This window comes from Homo sapiens, chromosome 4, assembly GCF_000001405.40.
Source record: "Homo sapiens chromosome 4, GRCh38.p14 Primary Assembly".
NCBI lineage: Eukaryota > Metazoa > Chordata > Mammalia > Primates > Hominidae > Homo > Homo sapiens.
Genome location: NC_000004.12, coordinates 101931861 through 101954985, shown reverse-complemented (window position 1 = coordinate 101954985; position 23125 = coordinate 101931861). Strand labels below are relative to the sequence as shown.

The 23125-nt window shown below is 35.2% G+C and overlaps 1 protein-coding gene across 3 annotated transcripts in view, besides 2 other annotated features; it reads right to left on the bottom strand.

Annotated features, from left to right (window-relative positions):
* The window catches only part of BANK1 (B cell scaffold protein with ankyrin repeats 1), a 284083-nt gene that overhangs the window by 119827 nt on the left and 141131 nt on the right, over positions 1 to 23125 (bottom strand). The gene's annotated exons all lie outside the window — the stretch shown is intronic.
* Positions 632 to 1182: an enhancer, noted in NCBI's record as "OCT4-NANOG hESC enhancer chr4:102874961-102875511 (GRCh37/hg19 assembly coordinates)". NCBI's record gives its function as "activates a minimal SCP1, AML or CMV promoter by ChIP-STARR-seq in naive and primed H9 embryonic stem cells {active_cell/tissue: H9 hESC(naive and primed)}" and the evidence as "EXISTENCE:reporter gene assay evidence [ECO:0000049][PMID:30033119]".
* Positions 760 to 1054: an enhancer, noted in NCBI's record as "tiled region #773; HepG2 Activating non-DNase unmatched - State 24:Quies". NCBI's record gives its function as "activates a minimal TATA promoter and a strong SV40 promoter by Sharpr-MPRA in HepG2 cells {active_cell/tissue: HepG2}" and the evidence as "EXISTENCE:reporter gene assay evidence [ECO:0000049][PMID:27701403]".

The following is a 23125-nucleotide window of genomic DNA, read 5'->3' as shown; positions in this document are numbered from 1 at the left end:
TTTAACTCATGCTTACCTATCACTGACCTTTATATTTCTAATGTTTGCCTCTACAAGCCATACCTTGCTCTCTGAGAAAAACGAACAAAAATTTGGAAAATGTTCCTAAGGTGCTCAAAACTGCTGTCTCATCTAGCAGTAAAAGATTCCTTTTTGGTGAACCACAAATTTTCTTCCCTTTGTAATTTCAATGTGTGTAGCATTACATAAAATACTTATGTTTCAGTAATTGCACATGGTTTTCAAAAATTCTACTTACAAAAATGATGGCATGTTGGCAAACTGTGGTAACAATCAACTTAGAACAATCCACAAAATTCCATGACTATAAGCTCCTGGGTATATATTTTTCCCTACTATTATCTTGGTACATTTTTTTTGTCAGCATGCCAGCCCTCCAAGTGCTTGTCATGTCTCTTCCCTCATCAATCCAATCACCTCACTGGCTGACTGCTTAACAAAAGAGAGTTCTGGTACCATGGGGTTTACTACCACCTTTTCTAGGCCTACTAATGTTTACCTGGCTTCGTTTAGATTTGATCTTCTTGCTAAATGTGAAGAGCAGGACTCCACAAATGAACACTAACTATTCCAGAATATAAAAATCACCTTGATTATTTCTACTAAGTGAGGTTTCCTGACCAACATGTTGTGAGTTGAACTGTCTCTTCCTAAAAGGTATGCTGGAGTCCTAATTCCTGGTACCTCTGAATGTAACCTTATTTGAAGATAGAGTCTTTGCAGATGTAATCAAATGAAGATGAGGTCATACCAGATGAGAATGTGCTGAGTTCATTGACTGATGTCCTTTTAAGAGAGCCTTGTGAAGACACGGACACAGAGATACACACAGGGAAAACATATTGTGAAGACCGAGGCAATGCAGCTGGAATTCAAGGAATGTCAAGAATTACTGGCAACCACCGGAAGCTAGGAGAGAGGCAAGGAATAGATTCTTCCTCGGGTCTCCAGAAAGAACAAACTCTGCAGACACACCTTGATTTCAGACTTCTAGCCTGCAGTACTATGAAAAAACAAATTTCTGTTGCTTTTAGCTACCCAGTTTGTGGTAATTTGCTACAACAGCCCTAGAAAACAAATACAGAAGGCAAGAGGTACAAGATAAATGGAGGTACAAGAAATATTACGCACAATATGCAATATATGTACTATCTTATCATTCACAAAACATATCAACTGACAATAAAATTTAGGCTCATGACTCAGTGGGGTTTTAGTTAAAATATCACTGAGACCATGAGATTTCCAGAAGGCAATTTCTGCACTTAATAGAAAAGTCACAACTTACAAATTCATATGAAAATTGAACTATCAGTGAAGTGAGCATCAAGTCAGGGAGGGAGGTAATCGTGCTAGCAGAAAGATACTTAGCATCATAATTTTTTGTGCACCCTACTTTGAAACACTTGATTTTTTTTTTTTTACTAAATAGATCCAGAAAACAAGCAATGATACAGTGTTGCAAGTCTGCTGCAAAATTTCCAAGTACTAGCATAATTTGTTCTACATATTTCTTCAAGACAGTCTGTTCTCTCCATGCAATTCTGCCATCTACTAATTTTGATATTTACTGATCAAGAACAGAGATGCCTCAGTTGTGGGAAAATTGCTTTTTGTTCACTGTTTCAACATTAAGTGTTCTGTAGAAGGCATTATCTAGAAATATGACAAAAGATGGAGAAAAAACAGTTGGGAACATTTCGTCCACTACTTACCTATTATTTATGCTATCTTTGCTGTCAGCTAAATAAACATCAAGTTTATGGATGAAAGAGCACGATCACCTCCAGGGTTCTTGCACATGGCAAAGTTTCAAGTAATACAATTTCTTTTTTCATTTCATTTCCATCATCTCAGCCTTGGTGTAAGAATTAACCTTGACTCGCCTCTACCCTTACCATTTCACCTGTTCACATAGGTGTAGGGTGTCCTCTATTGGTGCAGATGTCGGCAAAAGCCCTTGTCTAGTTCTTCTCACTGATCGTTAATCATTACTGCAAGGGTATTTGTTATTTTCCGTTGGTTATTACGACAGAAAAAAAGCTGGTAATGTCAAAATTACTGGTTTTGTTTCATTAATTATATCCTACTATCTCCTGGCATGAAAGGGACATGGCAATGCTGGAGTGTGGTAAGGGCGCAGACTCAAGTCTTGGATTTGAAAATCTACTTTGCCATTTCTTAACTGTGAAAAAGTTTATTAACAGCTCTCATGCCTCTTTTGCTAATATGCCCAGCATACGACTCCTGCCTCATGGATTTGCCGTAATCAAGGTCTGGCATTGATTTATTTGACAAATGCTTACTAAGTACCTATTATGAGCCAATGTTTTAGGTTAAATTTCTGTCTTCTTGGAGTCTACAATATAATGGATGTTTTACCAAATTATAATCATATGCCAAGCACTCAATAAATGTTATTTCTATTGTTATAACTATGATCATTGTAACAATTATTGAATTACTAAATATAAATGTCCTTTCGCTTAAGTTTTATTTTCCATTGACAGCAGAGAATCTATTGCATGCATGAGATGGTTCTTGTCTTTAGAAAACTTCACTCTTAAGATAAACACAGGTAGTCACAGTAATTAGAACATTTCTAGTACACAAAGGCTTACTTAGATTTGATTTACAATAAGTTCTCAATGTTGTCAAAAGGGTCTTGGAAATTGCTACTTTAAGCGAAAAAACATATAACCAAGCCATTTTTATTTTTTTCTCAACAATGTTACAACAAAACATTGAACAAAATGACATTATTCAAGGACCTGCTGTACATCATTTTGCTTAAAGTCACAGTTTCCAAATACCTATCAACAACATCAAGTGAAGACTTACTCTAATACTTCATTTATTTCTGCAATTTATTTATTTATTTATGCATTTATTTATTTATTAATAGGTAAAAGCCATGAGTACATGACCTAGCAACCAGATAGTTACTTAAAATCATCCATCAGGCACACATTTTATTATCAAAGAAAATATAGTAAAACAGCATGTGGCCATTTGCTTGCTATAACTGAGCTCAAGGATGATTAAACAAGTTTCAAATTTTTCTACTTATGAGCACACATTCTTTATTTTTTTTGTTTTATAAATCTAAATGGGTTCTGAGTACAAAAAATAAAAACTAAAAATCAAAATTATTTATATTGATAGTTATTTAATTTAAGCTACATGGCTGAAGGAAACTCCCCCAAAATATTTATAGGTTTAATTCTATTGCTTCATATGCAGTTTTGGGTTTATCAGAGCAAAAACAAATTTTTTAAAAAATGTAAAAACCAACATTTTTGTTTAATTTCTCATTGTAGTCCATAAACATCCGCATTATATATATGAGTAAATCTAAGGATTTGTTTTTCTTACAAAGAAACAGTCTAATCTAAGATCCTTTGAATTACAAAAATGTTTGAGATTTTGTTCAAGGTATTGTGGAATAACAATGCAGTTATAAAGTATTTCAGCTTTCAGTGTTAATTGTTAAAGCAACTGTTTTTAGTTATCTCTAACTTTTCCCTGTAAACTGGTGTTTGGGCTAAAGTTTTTGAAAATGGTCCTTGAATAGAAAAACAACATGATTATTGAATATAAAATTGTACATATTTTTATAAAAAGACATTTCCTCTGTTTTTTAAAAAAGCTCTAAGTTCTTAACAAAGCAGTAAGTTAGATTAGGTTTTTAAAAATAACCTTTTAATTTTAGACTAATTTAAGATTCACAGAAAATTTGTAAAGATAATGCAGAGAGTTCCTTATATTTCACACCCAGTTTCCCCCATTATTAGCATCTTACATAAATACAGTACCTTTGTAATGCTGAGCAAAGCAATAATGATACATTACTGTTAACTAACATCCATATTTTACTCAGATTTCCTTAGTTTTTACCTAATGGCCTTTTTCTGTTCCAAGGTTCCATCCAGGATACTACATTACATTTGGTTGTCATGTCTTTTTAAGATCTTCTTGTCTGCGACAGTTTCTTTGTCTTTGATGACTTTCACAGTGTTAAGGACTGCTGGTCAGGTATTGTCTGACCAGAGAGACTTAATGTTTTTCTCATGATTAGACTGAGGTTATGAGTTTTGGGGCGGAAGACCTCAATGGTGGAGCCACCATTTTTAACACATCACATCACATCAAATCAATGTTACATATTATCAACATGACTCATCATTCCTCATCTTATCTTTGATCACCTGGCTGAGGTAGTGTTTGTCAGGTTTTCCACTGTGAAGGTGGTCTCCACCACTCCCTTCAAACTTTACTCTTTGAAAGGAAGTCATTATGTACAGCTTACATTTAAGAGTGGAACTCACGTTTTTTAAACTTTATGTTTGTTATGAATTTTTCCCAATATGAAACTGTAATTAAGTAAATTTGGAAATATTTGGTTTTCAAAGAAAGAGCATTTGAAAATTCATGCAAAGACAATGGTCTCCTTCCTGAGTGAAGCACTCAGCTGGGAGTGATGTTCCAAATGGTGATAGGACTCACTGGATAATTTCCATTCTCAAGAATTTTATTCATTTAGATCTTAGTTCTCTTTAAATCTGTGGAATCTCAGGAATTTGCATAGAGCTTTTATATGCAAATAGTACCTCTTACTTTACTCTTCAAACGTTTACCCACAGTGTATATTGTAACAATCATCTTTCTTAAATTTAATAGTAATTGCCTGTCTTGTGTGGCTTATATATTTTAGAGCTACTACTGCAAGAAAGTAGAAACAGAATAATAATAGAAAACCTCTACCAGCAGATCCAGCCAGTCATATCCTTCAGCTAACTTTATCAATTAGGTCATATAGAGGCAAGGAGCTCAGCAATCTGAGAAGCACCAGAAATGATATTTCTTAGGGTCTCATTTGTGTAGGCACATGCGCGCGCACGCGCACACACACACACACACACACACACACACACACACACACACACCCCTTACTTCCTTAAACTAAATGTAGTTTATAGGCATCCTTGCCCATAGTTAAACCAATAAGATGCTCTTGAGACAATGTCATCTTAGATAGGTCAAGGCTTCTCCTATGGGTTATATTCTTACTCTTTTATTTTCTCTAGAATGTAACTTTGATAAGTGACATGTACTTATTGATAAAGAAATTTAGGCTCAATTTCAATTAACACTGAGTGCTTGTGTAATGAGAGGCACTCTGATGAACATTTTCCTGTACGTTTATCCTATATTTTTAAATCTAACATGTTGATCTTGTACATTTATTACTTTTTCATGTAGATAAGAAAATAGAGGCATAGTATGTTCTTTTCCCATACTAAGGGATAATTCTGTTCTCTGTTGTTCAAAACATTATTTCAGAGTTTAACATATATTTACATACACAATAAAATAATAGTTTTATTGAAAACTTACCACATGCCAGGAATTATACTAAGAGCTTTACGTAATATTTCATTAAGTGCGCCCAGCAATGTTAAGTAGTGGGTTCTAGTAGTATTCTCATTTTACATTTGAGGAAGTCAAGGCTTAGAGAGTATCTTAGATTGACTGCATTAGGGTTCTAATTAAGGCATCCCGATATCCCTGTCTTTTGTCTTGTAACTTTGTAGTCCCCTCTCATACTGATTCTGTCCTTGTGTATTGGTTTGGCCACAGTTCACTGGCAAAGCAGAGGTTTGAAAAAGAGTTTGCATATCTTTGCTTTCTTTTTTGCTTCTCTGTGTTCTTCAAGATAACATGTCCAGGTTAGGATGAGAATATGCTTGTTTAGCTTGCTGGGAAGATACAGGAGCTACATGTATATGAGAGATTGCATAGAGCAGAGCCACGTCATCCTAGGGTCATCTTGAAACCATCCTAAACAAGCCAGATCCCAGCTGACCTGTCAGCTGGCCACAGAAATAAGAGCAAGCCCAAGCCTCAGCGACAGGACCAGGACCAAGGTGAGACAAATGAGGCACTTGCAAAATTTAAGGGGTCACCCACAAACTCAGAAATAAGAATAAACAATATTTTAAGGTAGAAATTCATAAAAATAAAAATTAATGCAACAAGTCATCCATGATTAACAAAATATCAAAATTTTAAATAAAGGCAAGGCAAATATTACTATTTTTCCTCCTGTGTCAGATACCAATACAGGATGGCAAAGCTCTGTTCAGCAGGACCCAAGAACTCATAAAAATAACAAGTGATTTTTGCTTTAAGCTACTACATTTTGGGATGTTTCTTACACATTAGTAGCATACCCATAGGGATTAATTTAAAGGTCTCACAGTAATACTTGAGGGAAAAATATTTGGATCTAAGACTCTAGTCTACCTCTACTGTGACAAGGCAATATCCACAGCACCTCCCAGATTTTGAAATGCCATTTTAGATAGAAGAAAAAGGGTGGGGAGAAAATATAAAAAACAGAGTCATTCACAGAGACTGAGTTTCCTAAAATTATTGCTTTGATTTTTAGACTACAATAAATAACTCCCTTCTTTGCCCTTTAGGATGAAGCCATTGTAAAGAAGATAAAATCTAAATCAAATGTATTATTTGCAGATCTGAGTGTCAATTAGGAAATTTTGCAACCTGTTACATGATTATTTAACCTCCTGAGAAAGGAAGTTCTAATTCACAGGAAATTTGGCTGAGGATGGTGCACAGGCCAGGGAAATAACATCTGAGCATGACACCAATAGCATCACTGTACAAATTCAGGTAGCCTTGAGTGTCAGTCTGGTGGTAGCCACCCCCACAATTACTACAATTTAAAAATTATGTGATCTTCCTCTTTTGTAGGGCTAGTCTCATACTCTGCTCTTTTCCTTGCAAAATGTTCATAACAGGATTTCTTAAAAACCAAGTACACTTATTAAAGTAACAAATGACATACATTCATTGTTTTATTTAACATGTTAAATTGCAGTGTCAAAATTAACAATAGAATTACAATAGTTGTGATTATTTCCAGTACATAGCATATATTAAGGACATATTCATGTTTAAAAAGGGATGAATAATCCTGAGAAGAAAAGAACTGTTGCTTAGAAAATATAGTAGTTGTAAATTTACATCAGTCTCAGGAGATTTTCAAAGAAAATCCCTTACAGAAAGGGAGAAATGAATTTTTCAAAAATATTTTATATGATTGATTCATTTGTTGTAATGAAGGAGAATGATAAGTGAACATGACTAAACTTGAAATTCTTACAATTTCAGTTGGTAGGGGTAAAAGAAAATAATTTGGAGAACAAAGGTCAGTGGGATTATTCAGAAGACTGGATATTAACATAATTATATATATTTCTTTGGATATTCATAATTTAATCTTATGGATTATATTTTATTGGTTTATGGGCTGAATTAATGAATCATAAAGAATAAATTTGCAAACACTGAATCTAAAGTGCACATGGAAAGATAATGTAAAATAATACCATCTGGAGATCTAGTAAATTAGACTTCAAGCTTCTATGTTTCTACTTGAACCTATCAGACATCTTTAATAAATTCAATTAAATGATGTATTCTTCAGTTAAGTTATCTTGGGTGCCCATGAGAGTTTCTAGACTCATGGGCATCCCAGGTTTCATACACTGATCAATTCAATCCTTTACCAGATGAAGAGTGTCACTCCTGAATATGATGAAGAATATAATACATAATACATATACATATATATATATATATATATATATATATTTACAACTTCTTCAAACACAACCCTCTCTCACTTCCCCTGAAACCAGTCCTTAATTTTTATAGGGTTCTCTTTAGAGTACACCTACATTTGAGAAAATGTAAAACCCTAATGAATATTCAGAATTTACTGAGATCATAAATTTAGGACACATTTCTCCACAAATACTCAAGCACATTGCAGAAATGCTTAGTCCTCAGGTGAGTATGGTATCTCAAATCTGTCCTGTGAGTGTTGAGCCAGGTTTTCTTTCATTTATGACTTACTTCTCTTTGCCCAAAATGTAATTGGAGAAAAAAATGCCCAACTCATAGAATGTCTACCAAACTACTAAGTTCATCATAAAAGAAAATAAAGAAAATGCATTGCTTTACATTTCTAATTTTATATAGAATGAGTTTATTGTTAAATGGCTCTTCTCTCCTAAGTATTCATAAACCACATGACCTTCTAGAATTTCAGCGGGGATTGGTATTAAATTTGTTATTCCATAGGTTTAAGGCAGATCTTTCATCTGTTTTCGGGAAATAAAGGTATTTATCTAACTTGGCAGCTTTCAAATGTCCATTATTTCTTGAAGATCACCAGGAGTAGTCCCTATGTTTTAATGACCAGATATGTAATATGACTGAGGCTGCAAACTTGGACTCATTTAAAAGAGTGAGATAGTCTTTAATCCATCTCGGTTTTCAAATCCTTCATGTTCCTTTGACTTTTCTAGTTTGAATATGCTTCATTTCAGGAGGGATGGAAACAAAAGGCGTCTGCATTTTGCCGTCTGCTAATATTAGTGCATGACTACTTCATGCAGGATACCTGGCCATTCTTTATTATTCTAATTCTAAACATAGGTAAAGAACTTTCTCTGCTCGGCTTTAATATTTTCCCAAACATAGGATTAAGTAATATAACAACAGATCTTTCAAAGTATCTATTACGTGCCAACACAAGGTGGAACAAACGTAGACTCACATCATGACTTTTTGTTTATATTTGGCCATACTGGCTTGGTCACTATTCCTGTAATCTTCTCTGCATGTTCTTTTTAAATATTATCTCATCGCATAACATTATAAAACTTCATTTCTTTATAAAAGATCTGATGTCTTCTTATTGTGTGGAAAGTTAAAATTTTATTGGTTTGTGTTTATTATTGGATTATGTTTATCATTTGTTTGATTATTGTCAAGATCCAAAGTTAATAATCCAAAATTAAGTTTACTTATTCTTATTCGTTCAAACTTCTGAGAGATGAATTTTCTACAAGGTAAAGTAAGACTATATCCTGTGTTACTTTTAAAGGAGCAGGTTCCCAATGATATCTGGATAAACGTAGCCCCCTCTCACTAATATAAGTTGTATTTTTGCCAATTTTGTAATATTTACTAGAAAAGCATATTGCACATTCTTCTTCTGATTGGGGGGTATGTAGTATATGTCCTGATGTCATTGGTGTTTCTATCCTCTCTTATGCTCACTGAAATACATTTCAATAGGCTTCTACTCAGCTTTCGAATTTTCATCCATTCATTTAGCAAATATGTACTGAGAGTCTACTCTGTGCCAGACGTGGTTCTAAATACTCAGGATACAACCATGAACATAAAGGAGCAGGAGTTCTGTACTTGCAGAATTTCTCTGAGTTGAGTAGGAACATGTAGCCCACATGTTCAACTCACTCTGGTGCTGTTTCTTGTTTTCTTCTGTTGATTCATGGATTCTATTGATTCATGGTCTACTAAGTCATTTTTTACTTGAAATAGTTAATCTTTCCAGTATAAATACTATATTATTTAAGAAAAGATGTGAGCTTTATCTGTAAAATTGAGATAATAATACCTCATCACTATTTTTTGAACAGTAAATAAAATGGCATGTGCATGGTGAATAGCATATTTCCTGGAACATAGCAAGGATGCAAGAAAATGTTTGCCCCTCATGCTCCAAAGACAAATGAAAGTTTATAGTAATAACCTGAGCAATGATAAGGAAAAAAATAATTTAATCAGTAACAGATATGGCCTTCCTAGTATCAATTCAAGTTAAATCCATTTGTCATAATAAAAATTATGTTTAACCATGAATGAGGTTATCATAGTATTATACTTATTTAAAGTCTCCAAAGGGGGCATCTTTTGATTTAACTAAAATGCAAAAGGTAAATTGTACAAATATCAACAGCACCCAAACTCAATAGCTAGAGGAGAGGTATAATAAAGCACCCTTATAAGCACTTGGGTAAACTTTCCATCTACAAGTTTGCCCCACCCTTTAGAAAACTGAAGCATCTTTTTAGAAAGTATCTAGGACCTGACTATTGCTATTCATTTGAAATGCTTTTATTTTCCGCACACACTTGCTTCTGTTTGGTCATGCACAAGAGCATTCCCAGCATCAGGTCTTTGGAATGCAAACACTCACTCCACATGCAAACTTTAATCACTCTTGAGGTACATTGTGATCTCACTTTACCATAGGGTCACACAACTGCATTCAGCTCTTCAGCACATTGTCCAATATTTAAAAAGGCTGCTGTCCATTGGAATCACAGATCAACAAAACCTGCTGGCTCTAATTAATCACTTCTACAATCTCTGGGAAGTGTTCCTAATCTGTCCATAAGTGTGTATGTCCTTTGAAGGGCTCTGCTCTTGAAAGATTTTCCTGGTCACTCTTGTTCCCACTGATTTTTTTTTCCTTCTCTAGAGTTCTTGAATAACTATGAAAACAAAAGTGCTTTGAGAGAGAATAGGATGCTATGGAAAACCTAACAGGGGAACTAATGTAATCTGGGGTCAGAGAAAGTGATGTTTAAGCTGAGATATGGATGGTGGAAATTGACCAAGTGTAAAGGGTTAGCAAAAATTTTAGGAAACAGGGGTGAACATCCTAAGGCCCATACCTAAGAAAAGGGAGATCATGGAGATATTGGATGAGCCAAGGGAGGTCCAAATGGCTGAAGCTGAGGGAAGACTGGGAGAATGTTTTATTATTCACTATAGTTTTACACACTCTTTTTGCAACCCTTGTAAATGGTGAGTTTCCTGGTTACTTTGCATGTTTTATGCTCCTCACATAGCTTTTACCAGCATACCATATGCTAAAATTTCTCGACTGATACATTGACTATAAGGAAAACCGGCTTACTGAGGAGTATTAAATCAGTTGGATCTGTACACACACACATTCACACACTGCTTCTCTCTCTCTCTGTCTGTCTGTCTCTCTCTCTCTCTCTCTCTCTCTCACACACACACACACACAAACACACACACACATTTACTGGTTATCTACAAATACCAGGCACTATTTAAAGCAAACTGCATATACTATTTTTTTAATCCTCTTAACTATTATTACCATTTTACAGAGGACACGAAAGACTAAAGATGGTAAGTACCTATCTCTCAAGAATAAAAACCGTCAAGTAGTATTCAAATCCAGAAAATCGGGCAGTATAGTTTCAGAGCTTGAGCATTTCATAACAATGAATACAAAATGCTATGAAATATCTTATGGTTTTTCAAAATTAATTCTTTTAAACTGTGCTCTGTTAAGGTTCCCCTTCCATTCCCACTATCTCTACTATATCCACTATACCTCTACTTGCAGCCCAGAACTGCCTACTAGCATCTACATTTAGATATGAAATAAGTATTTCAACTCAATCTGTCCTAAATTGAGCTCATATTTCTCCCTCAGATCTCCTCCTTCCCCTTCATTCACTGTACCAGTTAGGAGCCCCACCATTTATTTACTTAGACACTTAAGCCAGAAGCCTTCTGTCCCTTCCATCCCCACACCAATCCACCCACCATGACCTGTTGTCCTGTTACCTTAATGCCTCTCTGGCTGGACTGCTTCCCTCCTTCCCCTCTGTCACTACCTCAGTTCAGCTCCTCAGAAGCAGTCATCTAATGGATCTCTTGCGTTTGATGTTCCCTGACAACGTTCTCCATCCTGTGGCTAGGATGTTCTAAGTTTTGATTACTATCATGCCACTACCCTGCATAAACCCCTTTAATATTCTCCATTGCCTTGAGGGCAAGGCACTAATTTGCTAATATGACTTCAAGCTTACTTCTATGACCTTATTTCTTGCAAATTCTCCTGTCATATGTCACATACCTATTTAAATGCTATTAAAGTTACTTGAAGTTTTTCAGATTCATCACATTCTCTCTCACCTTTAGCCTCTGCTCATCTTACTCTTTGTGCCTGGAAGGTCCATTCTTTACTCCTCTTGGCTAACTACCATTGGCTCATTGGAATTCAATTTAGAGGTAGAATGGCATTTCTGAGTGTTCTGATAATATACCCTTATTAACAATACTTACCATACTTCTTACAATCATACCAGATTATCATGTCATTCAAGGCAGAGTCCATTTCATTAATGTTTGTATCCTTAAAGCATGCCACAGTACCAGCAGCCTAATTTGATATTTAATAAATATTTGTTGAATTAAACATTTTATTTTTAATAGATACAACATCTTAAATATTTATAATGATACTTTGCTATTTTTCTACCTTTTCTCTCATTTACCACCCAGGACTTTATCTTCCCTTTCTGTGCATGGAATTAGCTACAAAGTCTGATTTTACATTGACACTGACCCTAAATTATATAATTTTATGTAAGAGAATTGTAAATTCTTCAGGATTCCTTTTGTAAAGAAAGAGCTCAATATTTCTCTGTACAGTGACCTAACTTTAAAATGTAACACAATTTCAGAATTCCTTAGAGCTTGCCCATTTATTTATTTTCCATAAGAGAGCATTGTCAAGATGTGTGCACTTATTCATGTTATTTTCTCAATTCTAACTTTCTAGTTCAACTCTTAACATAGAATCGTCTACAGAGGACTTTGGGCCTCTAGAGCTCTCTCTGAAGAACAGGTTCAAGATGCCCACTACAGGCTCTGTGCTCTGTGGTTTATTAGAGGAATTTCCCACTGTGTCGATGAAGAAGGCTGCCTGGTGGCATAGAACTTTCATATGCATTAAAAGCTGGCTCTAAGGTTGTGAAGTGAGATAAATTTTATGGAATGACTTTGTTTGATGCAGCTGCAGAATCAATTAAGGCTGAATAGGGTCCTTGGTTGCCAATTTTAGTAATAGCAGAAAAATGCAAAATGCTGAGGCTGGTAGTCACCCAGATGTTTCAGTCCTGCTGACTGGCACATCAGTGTTCATTCTTCCTGATCTCTCTTTGGTTCTTGGGCTTACCTCCTGATATAAATAGCTATTGTTCTTACTCTCTTCCATGAAGTCCAATTACTGAAGTGGCTCAAAATGGTACAATAGAAAATGTGCTCTACTGTTCTATTTTCATGGTTGAGGAGTTTCAGTCTCAGTTACCCCACACAAGTGGATCATCATGAGGGTCAGTAATAAAAACAACAAAATGAAGAGGAAAGTCAATGGTGAAGAAACCCTGGGGAAACTATAGCAGTACTCAATTGTCAAAATGAAAAATATGGAATACAATTCAAACCTCCTAACTTTTATTAGAAAGCATATGTGTGTGTGTGTGTGTGTACACACACATCTGAAAGCATATATATATATTTATAGTGGGTATGCATATATATGTATAGTAAGAGATCAGACTTTTCACACTGTCTTTAATTAACATAGGGCCACCTATACCTCTGACGAATGATGTCAGCCTCTGGGACAAAGCTCCCACATTCATTTTTCAGAATTGGTGATTCTTTATCCTCTTGTAGGTTTCCACAACTGTCAACATAACTCATATAAGAAGAAAAAGTCTTTTATTCTAGACAAGGAATGTAGGAAATCCCAGTAAGCCTGAGGTTGACCTCCATCAAAACTGAATGAAAAACACATATCTCTCTTTGTCTTGTCAGCTGACAGGGTCTAGAGGTAATACCTAGTAGCAGTGAGCACCTCTAGCACCCAGATCTTAATTTCTACTATTCTCCACTTAAAGGAATCAGAGCTCCTTGAGAAATGATTGATACTAGGACAGGGGCAGAAAATACACATGTTAAATATACAAAACACAGTGCTGAAAAGTAAAGAATTATCCAACTCCACCCCCGCCCCACCACACACAGAAACACAATGATGGGGTGTATCAGAAGGATAAAGGAACCAACTGAAACAGCTCCCAATGGCCAAAGCTGGAATAATTTGAGCAAAAAATAAAGTAGTTTTGGATTATAATCCAAAATATAAATGTCCATGAGTTCATACAGATATAAATAAATGATTGCATAAAATAAGTAAAGGGGGGAGAGTAGGCAAGCCTCCTGTGTAGAAGGATTCCACATACTTTACAGTCTTTGTCCTCAAGGAGGTGGAGCATAAACCCCCACTCCCTAAGTGTGGATTGTGCTTAGTGACGTCCTTCCAAAAAGTTCAACATGAAAAGGTTAGAGGAGGGGGAATATCTTTACAGTGGAGAAACGTGACAAACATTACCTCAGCCAGGTGATCGAGGGAAACATCCATCAGCAATGATGAGTTATGTTGATAGGAAATATCATGAGATGATGTGATGTGATAAGAATGGTCCTCCACCTCCATGGTCTTTCTCCTCAGAACCCTTAACTTCAGTTTAATCGTGAGAAAAATATTAGACAAGTCCCTCTTGGGGGACGTTCTGCAAAATATCTGACCAGCACTCCTTAACACTGTATTAAGTCATCAAACACAAGGAAAGTCTGAGAAACTGTCACAGACAAAAGGAGTGTAAAGAGATAATGACAAACAAATGCAATATGGCATGTTGAATGGGACCTTGAAACAGAAAAAGGACATAGGTAAAAATGACAGAAAACTAAGCAAAATGTGTGATTTAGTTAATGGTAATGTATCAATATTGGTTCATTAATTGAGGCAAGCATACTATAATAATGTAAGATGTTAACAACAGAAAAAACATACTTGGGGAGTATATGGAAACTCTGTTCTATGTTTACAACTTTTTTTAAATCTAAAACTATTCTAAAATACTAAGTTGATTTTTAAAAAACTTAATGACTTTCGAATCTGTTTTTTTTTTCCTGCTTAGAAAAGTTAAGGGAAAAGTCCCTACCATTGCAATATTTAATATACAAAACATTAATCATTCTAATTATATTCATTTATCTAGAGAAATAAGTAAATATCTCATAATCATGTCCAAGGGAGAGAAATCTGAAAGAACACATCTCTTAGGAACAATAATCAAAGAAATGAATTAGCATGAGTTGACAAAAGATGAATGAGCTCTATGTAGTTTGGTTTATGGATGCATCAAATGGTCAATAGGGAAGCTAGGAGATGAATTTGCTCTTGCTCAAGTTAATGGTGTCATTTAGAAGATATTTGAATAGCACCAGAAAAGCTAACTTGTCAGAGAAGCTCTGTTTCCATAATTTTAATATGATATTTGAAGATTATTTTCTTATTGATGTATTTTTTTTTCTTTGCTTATGCCTTCAGAATATCTGGACACATTCAAAATGTGGTTTTATTAAAATCATGTCAACTTTGAAGTTTAATTTATCATGTCAGTGCCCAAAGCTGATGTGCAAATTGTGTGTGGCAGAGAGAGTTCTCATCAAATATTCCTTATACTCCCCTACATTTCTCATTCCTTGTAGCTAAGCTGGGACCATGTGGCTGGTTTAGGCCAATGATTTGTGAGAGAAAGTGATGTTAGTCACTTTGGGGCAGAGGCAGTTAAAAGCCCATGTCTCTCTCAACCTCTGTCTCTCTACTCCCCTGCCATTGCAACTTCAGAAACACGTTTCCAGGTAATGCTGCTACAAGATGGAGGCATCCACTAGTCCAAGTTTCTGAGTTATTTTGTTGGGAAGACATCTCTCCTCACATCCTGCCAACCTTTGTTGAACATGTAATATATATTACATACTATGTGATGCCCTAAGTCATTGGAGTTTGTTGCTATATTTAGTGTTAATTATTTTACAACTTGCAATGCAAATTGCATATATTTTAAGAAACAAATTTTGCATTTTAGACGGTCTTGTTATAGGTAGTCAGAAGTAGCTTTTGAGATTACTATAAAGATTGCTTTCCACAGATCCAAAATCACAGTACTTCATCCCCTTTAAAACATCTAATTTAAAAGGGAACACGTCTAGAAGTTCTGACTGGAAATAGCTCTGACTGCAGAACCCATTTGGGAAAGAAATGGATTCTTGCAAAACTAGGAAAAATGACAAAAATTCAAAATATTGGAAGAATGGGGATTTTGGCAATAGATTAAGATTTCATCAGATAGTATTTCAGGAAATGCTGCGTCTCAGGTAGAGGGGTGATAAATCACAGCTACTGCTTGGCCTGTGACTTTCAGAAATGTGGGGTGAATAAACCACAGCTTTTGCAACTTAGACCATGTTATTATTGCCTGAGATAGGGAGAGATGAGAGTTGACTGAATGTAGTTTAAAGTATTTTGGGGACTGAGGATAATTTGCTTTGTATAATTTTTATAAAATATGGGGATATGAACAGAGAACATATATTCACAGTCTGCATGCAAAGGCCTTGCAGACAAGCTTGGGATGCATTGCCATTAGTCATTATCATTACAGTAAATAGCTTTTATGGACTGAAGTTCTCCAAGAGCTATCTTTCATTCATATACTCAAGCTTGATATATGTGTTGTTATGTTTTTTATTTCTCCTGGTAACTTTTTTACTTTTAATCTTTTGGGGTACATAGTAGGTATATATATTTAAGGGGTACATGAAATATTTTGATATAGGCATGCATTGTATAATAATCATATCAGGGTAAATGGGGTATCCATCACCTCAAGCATGTATCATTTATTTGTGTTATAAACATTCCAGTTATACTTTTTTAGTTATTTTGAAATGTACAATTATTATTGACTGTAGTAACCCTGTTGTGCTACAAAATACTAGATCTTATTCATTTTGTTTAACTATATCTTTTTACCCATTAGTCATCCCCACTTTCCCCCATCCTCACTACCTTTTCCAGTCTCTGGTAACCATCATTTTATTCCTATCTCTATGTGTTCAATTGTTTTATTATTATTATTATATTTTAAACTCTGGGATACGTGTGCAGAACGTGCAGGTTTGTTACATAGGTATACACGTGCCATGGTGGTTTGCTGCACCCATCAACCTGTCATCTACATTAGGTATTCCTCCTAATGCTAACCCTCCCCTAGACCCCCACCCCTGACAGGCCCCAGTGTGTCATGTTCCCCTCCCTGTGTCCATGTGTTCTCATTGTTCAACTATCACTTATGGGTGAGAACATGTGGTGTTTGCTTTTCTGTTCCTGTGTTAGTCTGCTGAGAATTATGGTTTCCAGCTTCATCCATGTCCCTGCAAAGGACATGAACTCATCCTTTTTTATGGCTGCATAGTATTCCATGGTGTATATGTGCCATATTTCTTTTATCCAGTCTATCATTGATGGGCATTTGGGTTGGTTCAAAGTCTTTGCTATTGTGAATACTGCTGCAGTAAACATATGTGTGCATGTGTCTTCATAGTAGAATGATTTATAATCCTCTGGGTATATACCAGTAATGGGGATTGCTGGGTCAAATGGCATTTCTGGTCCTAGATCCTTGAGGGATCACCACGTTGTCTTCCACAATGGTTGAACTAATTTACATTTCCATCAACAGTATAAAAGTGTTCCTATTTCTCCACATCCTCTCCACATCTGTTGTTTCCTGACTTTTTAATGATAGCCATTCTAACTGGCATGAGATGGTATCTCATTGTGGTTTTGACTTGCATTTCTCTAATGACCAGTGATGATGAACATTTTTTCATATGTTTGTTGGCCACATAAATGTTTTCTTTTGAGAGGTGTCTGTTCATATCCTTTGTCCACTTTTCGATGGAGTTGTTTGTTTTTTTATTCTTGTAAATTTGTTTAAGTTCCTTGTAGATTCTGGATATTAGCCCTTTGTCAAATGGATAGATTGCAAAAATTTTCTCCTATTCTATAGGTTGTCTGTTCACTCTGATGATAGTTTATTTTGCTGTGCAGAAGCTCTTTAGTTTAATTAGCTCCCACAAATGTGTGAGAATATGCAAAGTTTGTTTTTCAATGCCTGGTTTCTTTCACTTAACATAATGTCCTCCAGTTCTGTCTATGGTGTTGCAAATGACAGGACTGCATTCTTTTTTATGGCTGAATAGTACTTCACTGTGAACACATACCCCATTTTCTTTATCCATTTGTCTGTTGAGGGACACTTAGGTAGCTTCCAAATATTGGCTATTGTGAACAGTACTGCAATAAACATGGAAGTGCAGTTATCTCTTCAAAATACTGATTTCCTTTCTTTTGGGATCCAGCGGGATTGCTGGATCATATGGTAGCTCTATTTTTAGTTTGTTGAAGAACCTCCAAACTGTTCTCCATAGTGGTTGTACTAATCTACATTCCCACCAACAGTGTATGAGAGCTCCCTTTTCTCTACATTCTTACCAGTATTTGTTATTGCCTGTCTTTTGGATATATGCCATTTTAACTGGGGTGAGATAACATCTCATTGTAGTCTTGATTTGCATTTTTCTAATGATCAATGATATTGAGCAACTTTTCATATGTCTGTTATTTGTATGTCTTCTTTTGAGGAGTCGCTATTCAAATCTTTTGTCTATTTTTTAGTTGGATAATTAATTTTTTTTCCTATAGAGTGTTTCTGGTTATATATATACACACACATACACGTATACATATACATATATGTATACGTGTATGTGTATCATCTTATATGTCTAGTATACATGTATACATCTTATACATATATGTATACACATGTATGTGTATATATCATACATATAAAGTATATGCAAACATGTATACATCTTATACATGCATGTATACATGCATACGCACATATATACATGCATGTATGCATGTATGCACACATATATGCATGTATGTATACATGTATATGTACATATATATGTATGGATACATATGTGTACATATGCATGTATGTGTGCATATATGTGTACATATACATGTATGCATACATGTATGTGTGTCATATATGTATACATATCATATATGTGTACATGTACATATATGATATATAAAAAATATATATATCATATATATTTTTTTCTGGTTATAAGTCTCTTGTCAGATGAGCAGTTTGCAAATATTTTCTCCCATTCTGTGGGTTGTCCCTTCACTTTGCTTATTGTTTCCTTTGCTGTATAGAACCTTTTAACTTGGTGTGGTCCAATTTTGCTTTGTTTGTCTGTGCGGGGTTTACTCAAGAAATCTTTGCCCTGACCAATGTGCTGGAGGGTTTCACCATGTTTTCTTTTAATAGATTCATAGCTTGACGTGTTAGATTTAAGTCTTTAATCCATTTTCAGTTGATTTTTGTATATGGTGAGAGACAGGGTTCTAGTTTCATTCTTCTGCATATGAATATCCAGCTTTCCCAGGACCATCTATTGAAGAGACTGTCTTTTCTCCAAGGTATATTCTTAGCACCTTTGTGAAAAATGAGTTCACTGTAGATGTATGGATTTATTTCTGGTAATTAAACTTCTTAATATGAATGTAGAGAGAGGATTTATTCCATGTTTCATATATTCCCTAGGCACACCCCTAAACTAATTACTTGAGGGAAAGATGACAGATTCTATCAATTACGGTGTTACACATAGATAAGATTTTCAATAGCATTTGATGATAAATTAAATAATAAATGTGTTGAATTCAGAAAAGATTCCTTTTAACTCCCCCACTTTCAAGAAATTCTTGATAAGTGATTTCAAAAGTTAAAATAAATACCTGCTCAAAAAGTAGATTATGGGTCTTGGGTTAAGACATTAACTGTATATTTCTCTCCACTTAACTAATGAGTAGTCCCAGTGCCCCACTAATGAGCCAAATGTATTTTTCAGCAAGTTAACAGCCCACAGAAAGATTTACATTTCAATTTGCCTTCACAAGGCAATTTTCTGACACAGCTGTTTTCCTGATTGACTACTTAAGAACTTTTCTTATAACTTTTTTCATTGCTTTGCTTTTAGAATTGCAGTGTGAGTGTTCAGTTTTACTATGTTAATTTGGGTAACCTGCTTTCTTCAACTATAAAAAGATTGTTAATTAAATAAAAACAAAACAAAGATCCCTGTCCTCATGGTACTTATATTCTGGGGATGGGTTGGGGTGAGGTAAAGGCAGACAATAAAGGGTACCATGAGGTATTCTAGAAAGTGATAAGTGCTATGCAAAAAGAAAAAGTTGAACTAAAATAAATGGGAATTAGAATGGCAGATGAAGTGGGGTGGGTATTGGCAATTTTAAATAGTATGGTCAGAGGAGACCTCATGAAGAAGATGACATTTCAGCAAGAGAGTTAGCCATGGTACTGCTGTGAAAAGGGCAGGTAAACACGGCTCATAAAATAAGTGTGCAATGAAGAATTGTGGCATTGGTAAATGTGTATGAAATTCAAAAGAATTCCTCCTAGTAAAAGTGTTTTGAAATGGCATTAGAATATCAGCGCAGTCATAATAGTGCTTGTTACAGTGCTCCCTAGGGAATTGTCCATTTATTTATGAATTGTTCTGATAGTTTACAGGTAAGTCAGTGGTTTTGTTTTGGCTTTTTGTTTGGTTATGTTCCAGCTATGGTCATAAGGTTACTGACTACATTAGTTAGGAGGCTTATTAATTCTTGATTGTCTTGTTTTGACAGAAATGACACAAGGAGATCTCATCATAAATCTCAAGACAAAGGAGTAGCTCTGGTTTCTAAAATTCATTTGGGATGCATGTGATGGAGGCTCTCACTGCTCATAATTTTCTTTTATTTCCATCAAAGGGATGAAGAGTTTCTCCTTCAGTGACCACAGTCATCATTTCCCCTCTATTCCTCCCAATTGTCTGTTTCTCATCGTAGCTTCTTAGTATGTCAAGGTCACATACACAATTCAGTCTACGCCCCTAGTAAACCATGAGTAGAAAGATATTGAGAGGCTCATTTCAAACAAGTAAGTTGTAGGACTGCAGTCTTTTAAAAAAAAAATTAATACTAAGCTGTTTCAAAATATTCAGCATACCCTTAGGCTGCTAACAAGAGTTTTTATCTACTCTGGAAATTTCATCAGTTATTGCTAATACATGTTTGGCCTTCTTTCTAGTAGTAAGAGATCCTATCCTATGTGCTTAATAGCTTTACCCTTATCTTTTGTCTTCATACCCTGTGAAGCTTGCTAGTGGCACCCAGACCCTAAGGCAGGGTTCACAATATTTACGTGGTTGCAGTGAAATATGCGTTCAGACACCAGGGTTTTTTGTTTGTCTGTTTGGCAGCAAACCAAATGGATGAAAAGACTCAAATCACTCTAAAAAAGCCAGCAATAATTATGGGGTAATCTGGACTCCTAAACGACAGTGTCTCATAGAATTTATAAAACTATACACAGTTAGGGCACTATCAGTTCGGTAGCCCTTCAGCACTGTCATGAGATCTGAATAGAGCTGTTTACTGCCCTGACCACCTTCCACTAGACTGTGAGACAGAATTCTCACTCTTTCAATAAATGTTTGACCTTCCACTGCTACACAGTTGATGCTACTTTCTGAATGCTGATTTTTACAATAATTTGTTCCTGTATCTATATTGCATTGTGCTACCTAGCTCAACATTTTCTTTGACAGTCATCAGTATAACATTATATATGCTAAATTATATTTTAAAATAACTTATGAAATCAAATATGATGATATACTTGTGAAGAGACTGCAACACAATAGTGAGAACCACTGCCCTGGAAAATACTCACCTTTATTAGGCTACAGACATAACAACCCTTGTGTAATGGGCAGAAGGTGCCAGTGGCATAGCCATGTAAAACTCCATACCCCTTTAATATGCTTTTCTTCCACTGACTTGCTTTTTCTGAAAAGAAATTACTGCCAGTGAATGCTCTCATGCTTAGCTTTTTTTTTTTTTTTTCTCCTTTCTTACCGGTCTCTCTGGTGGCCATTGAATACGCTACCTGTCACTCCAACATAAATAAAACTCTAAATCTTATTTCCACTAGTTTCTCCAAATAATCTCCCTTTCTATGGTCCTATCCCTACCATGGGCCATTGTTTTTGGTAAATTTCAAAATAGCCATTTGCTAAGTATTCATGCCATTATTATGTCTAAAACTCATGCTTGCATTTGAACAGGAAGAGAGTTTGCAGTGTAACTAATTCACACTACAAGTTGTGGAAACAAGAATATTTTTCAGTGTACATTTTCCGGGTGATAATATGGTATTGCCAAAATATAAGCCATTTCAAAACCACAGGGAAAAGACAGTAATATCAGACAGCCCTATATAAACACCTTTGCCAGATCCATTTTACAAAGCTAAAATATAGCTACAGAGCTATACACTAAAGATAAATTTAGTTTTAGTCTGTAATTTTTACCCATGCACAAAATCTATTGTTTTGTTTTTAATCTATCTGTGAGAGGTTGGTTTGTTGAAAAGAGCACCTCTCTGTTCCGTCTCATCCAGTACATGTATATATTTTCCCAGAGGAATGAGCGGTCTCACAATATTTCTTCTTTCAGAAGTGTAAAAATGTTACTCACAAGGAAGAGTAATATCTCATTAAAGTAGGAGATAGACATTTAGCAGATGGCATATAATACATCAGCTATAATTTTATCTTCAGTTTTCCTTTTAGAAGCTATCCAAGCTGTGCTCTCTGGTAATAGGGTGATAGCTGTCTCTAGCAACATGGAAGTCCTCCATTTTCTGACATACTACCAATTATTAAAATTTTTACATATAAATATTTAAGAAAACAAACTTACAACAGGACAACTAAGGTGAAATTTAAAGAAAAGTCCCCTTTAAAAAGTCCAAATTTTGACTTCATAGTTAGTGAAACAGAAATTTTATGTACATACACAAACATATATAGGCATATGCACACATATATAAAAACATTATTCAAATTCTATTTAATAGATCTACTTGCCAAAGGGATAAGGAAATCAGGAAACAGTTGAATTCTAGGTTTATTAAGGTTAGAGTGGGATTGGTGGAAAATCTTTTGCTACTATTTCTTAAGGAAGGATCCACCGATGTTTTGGATAGGCCAGTTCTTCACAGGGAGGGATTGTCCTCCACATTGCAAGGCATTTAACATTCATCTACTAACAGTCAGTAGAACTTTTCACCCATTAAAACAGGTCCCTTTACTTTCTTAAAATACTTCCTAGGAAGTACTTGAAAATTACCACAGGATCTTAAACAAACTACATTTTCTCATGAAGGAATATTTTAATCATTTTCATGTTATTTTCCTAAAACAACTTTAGTTAGTTACTCCTGAATTGTTATGGATTTTTATAGCTTTGCCATGGCCCATGTTTCTGCTCCTCTCTGTCTGCCTTCTAGGGCTC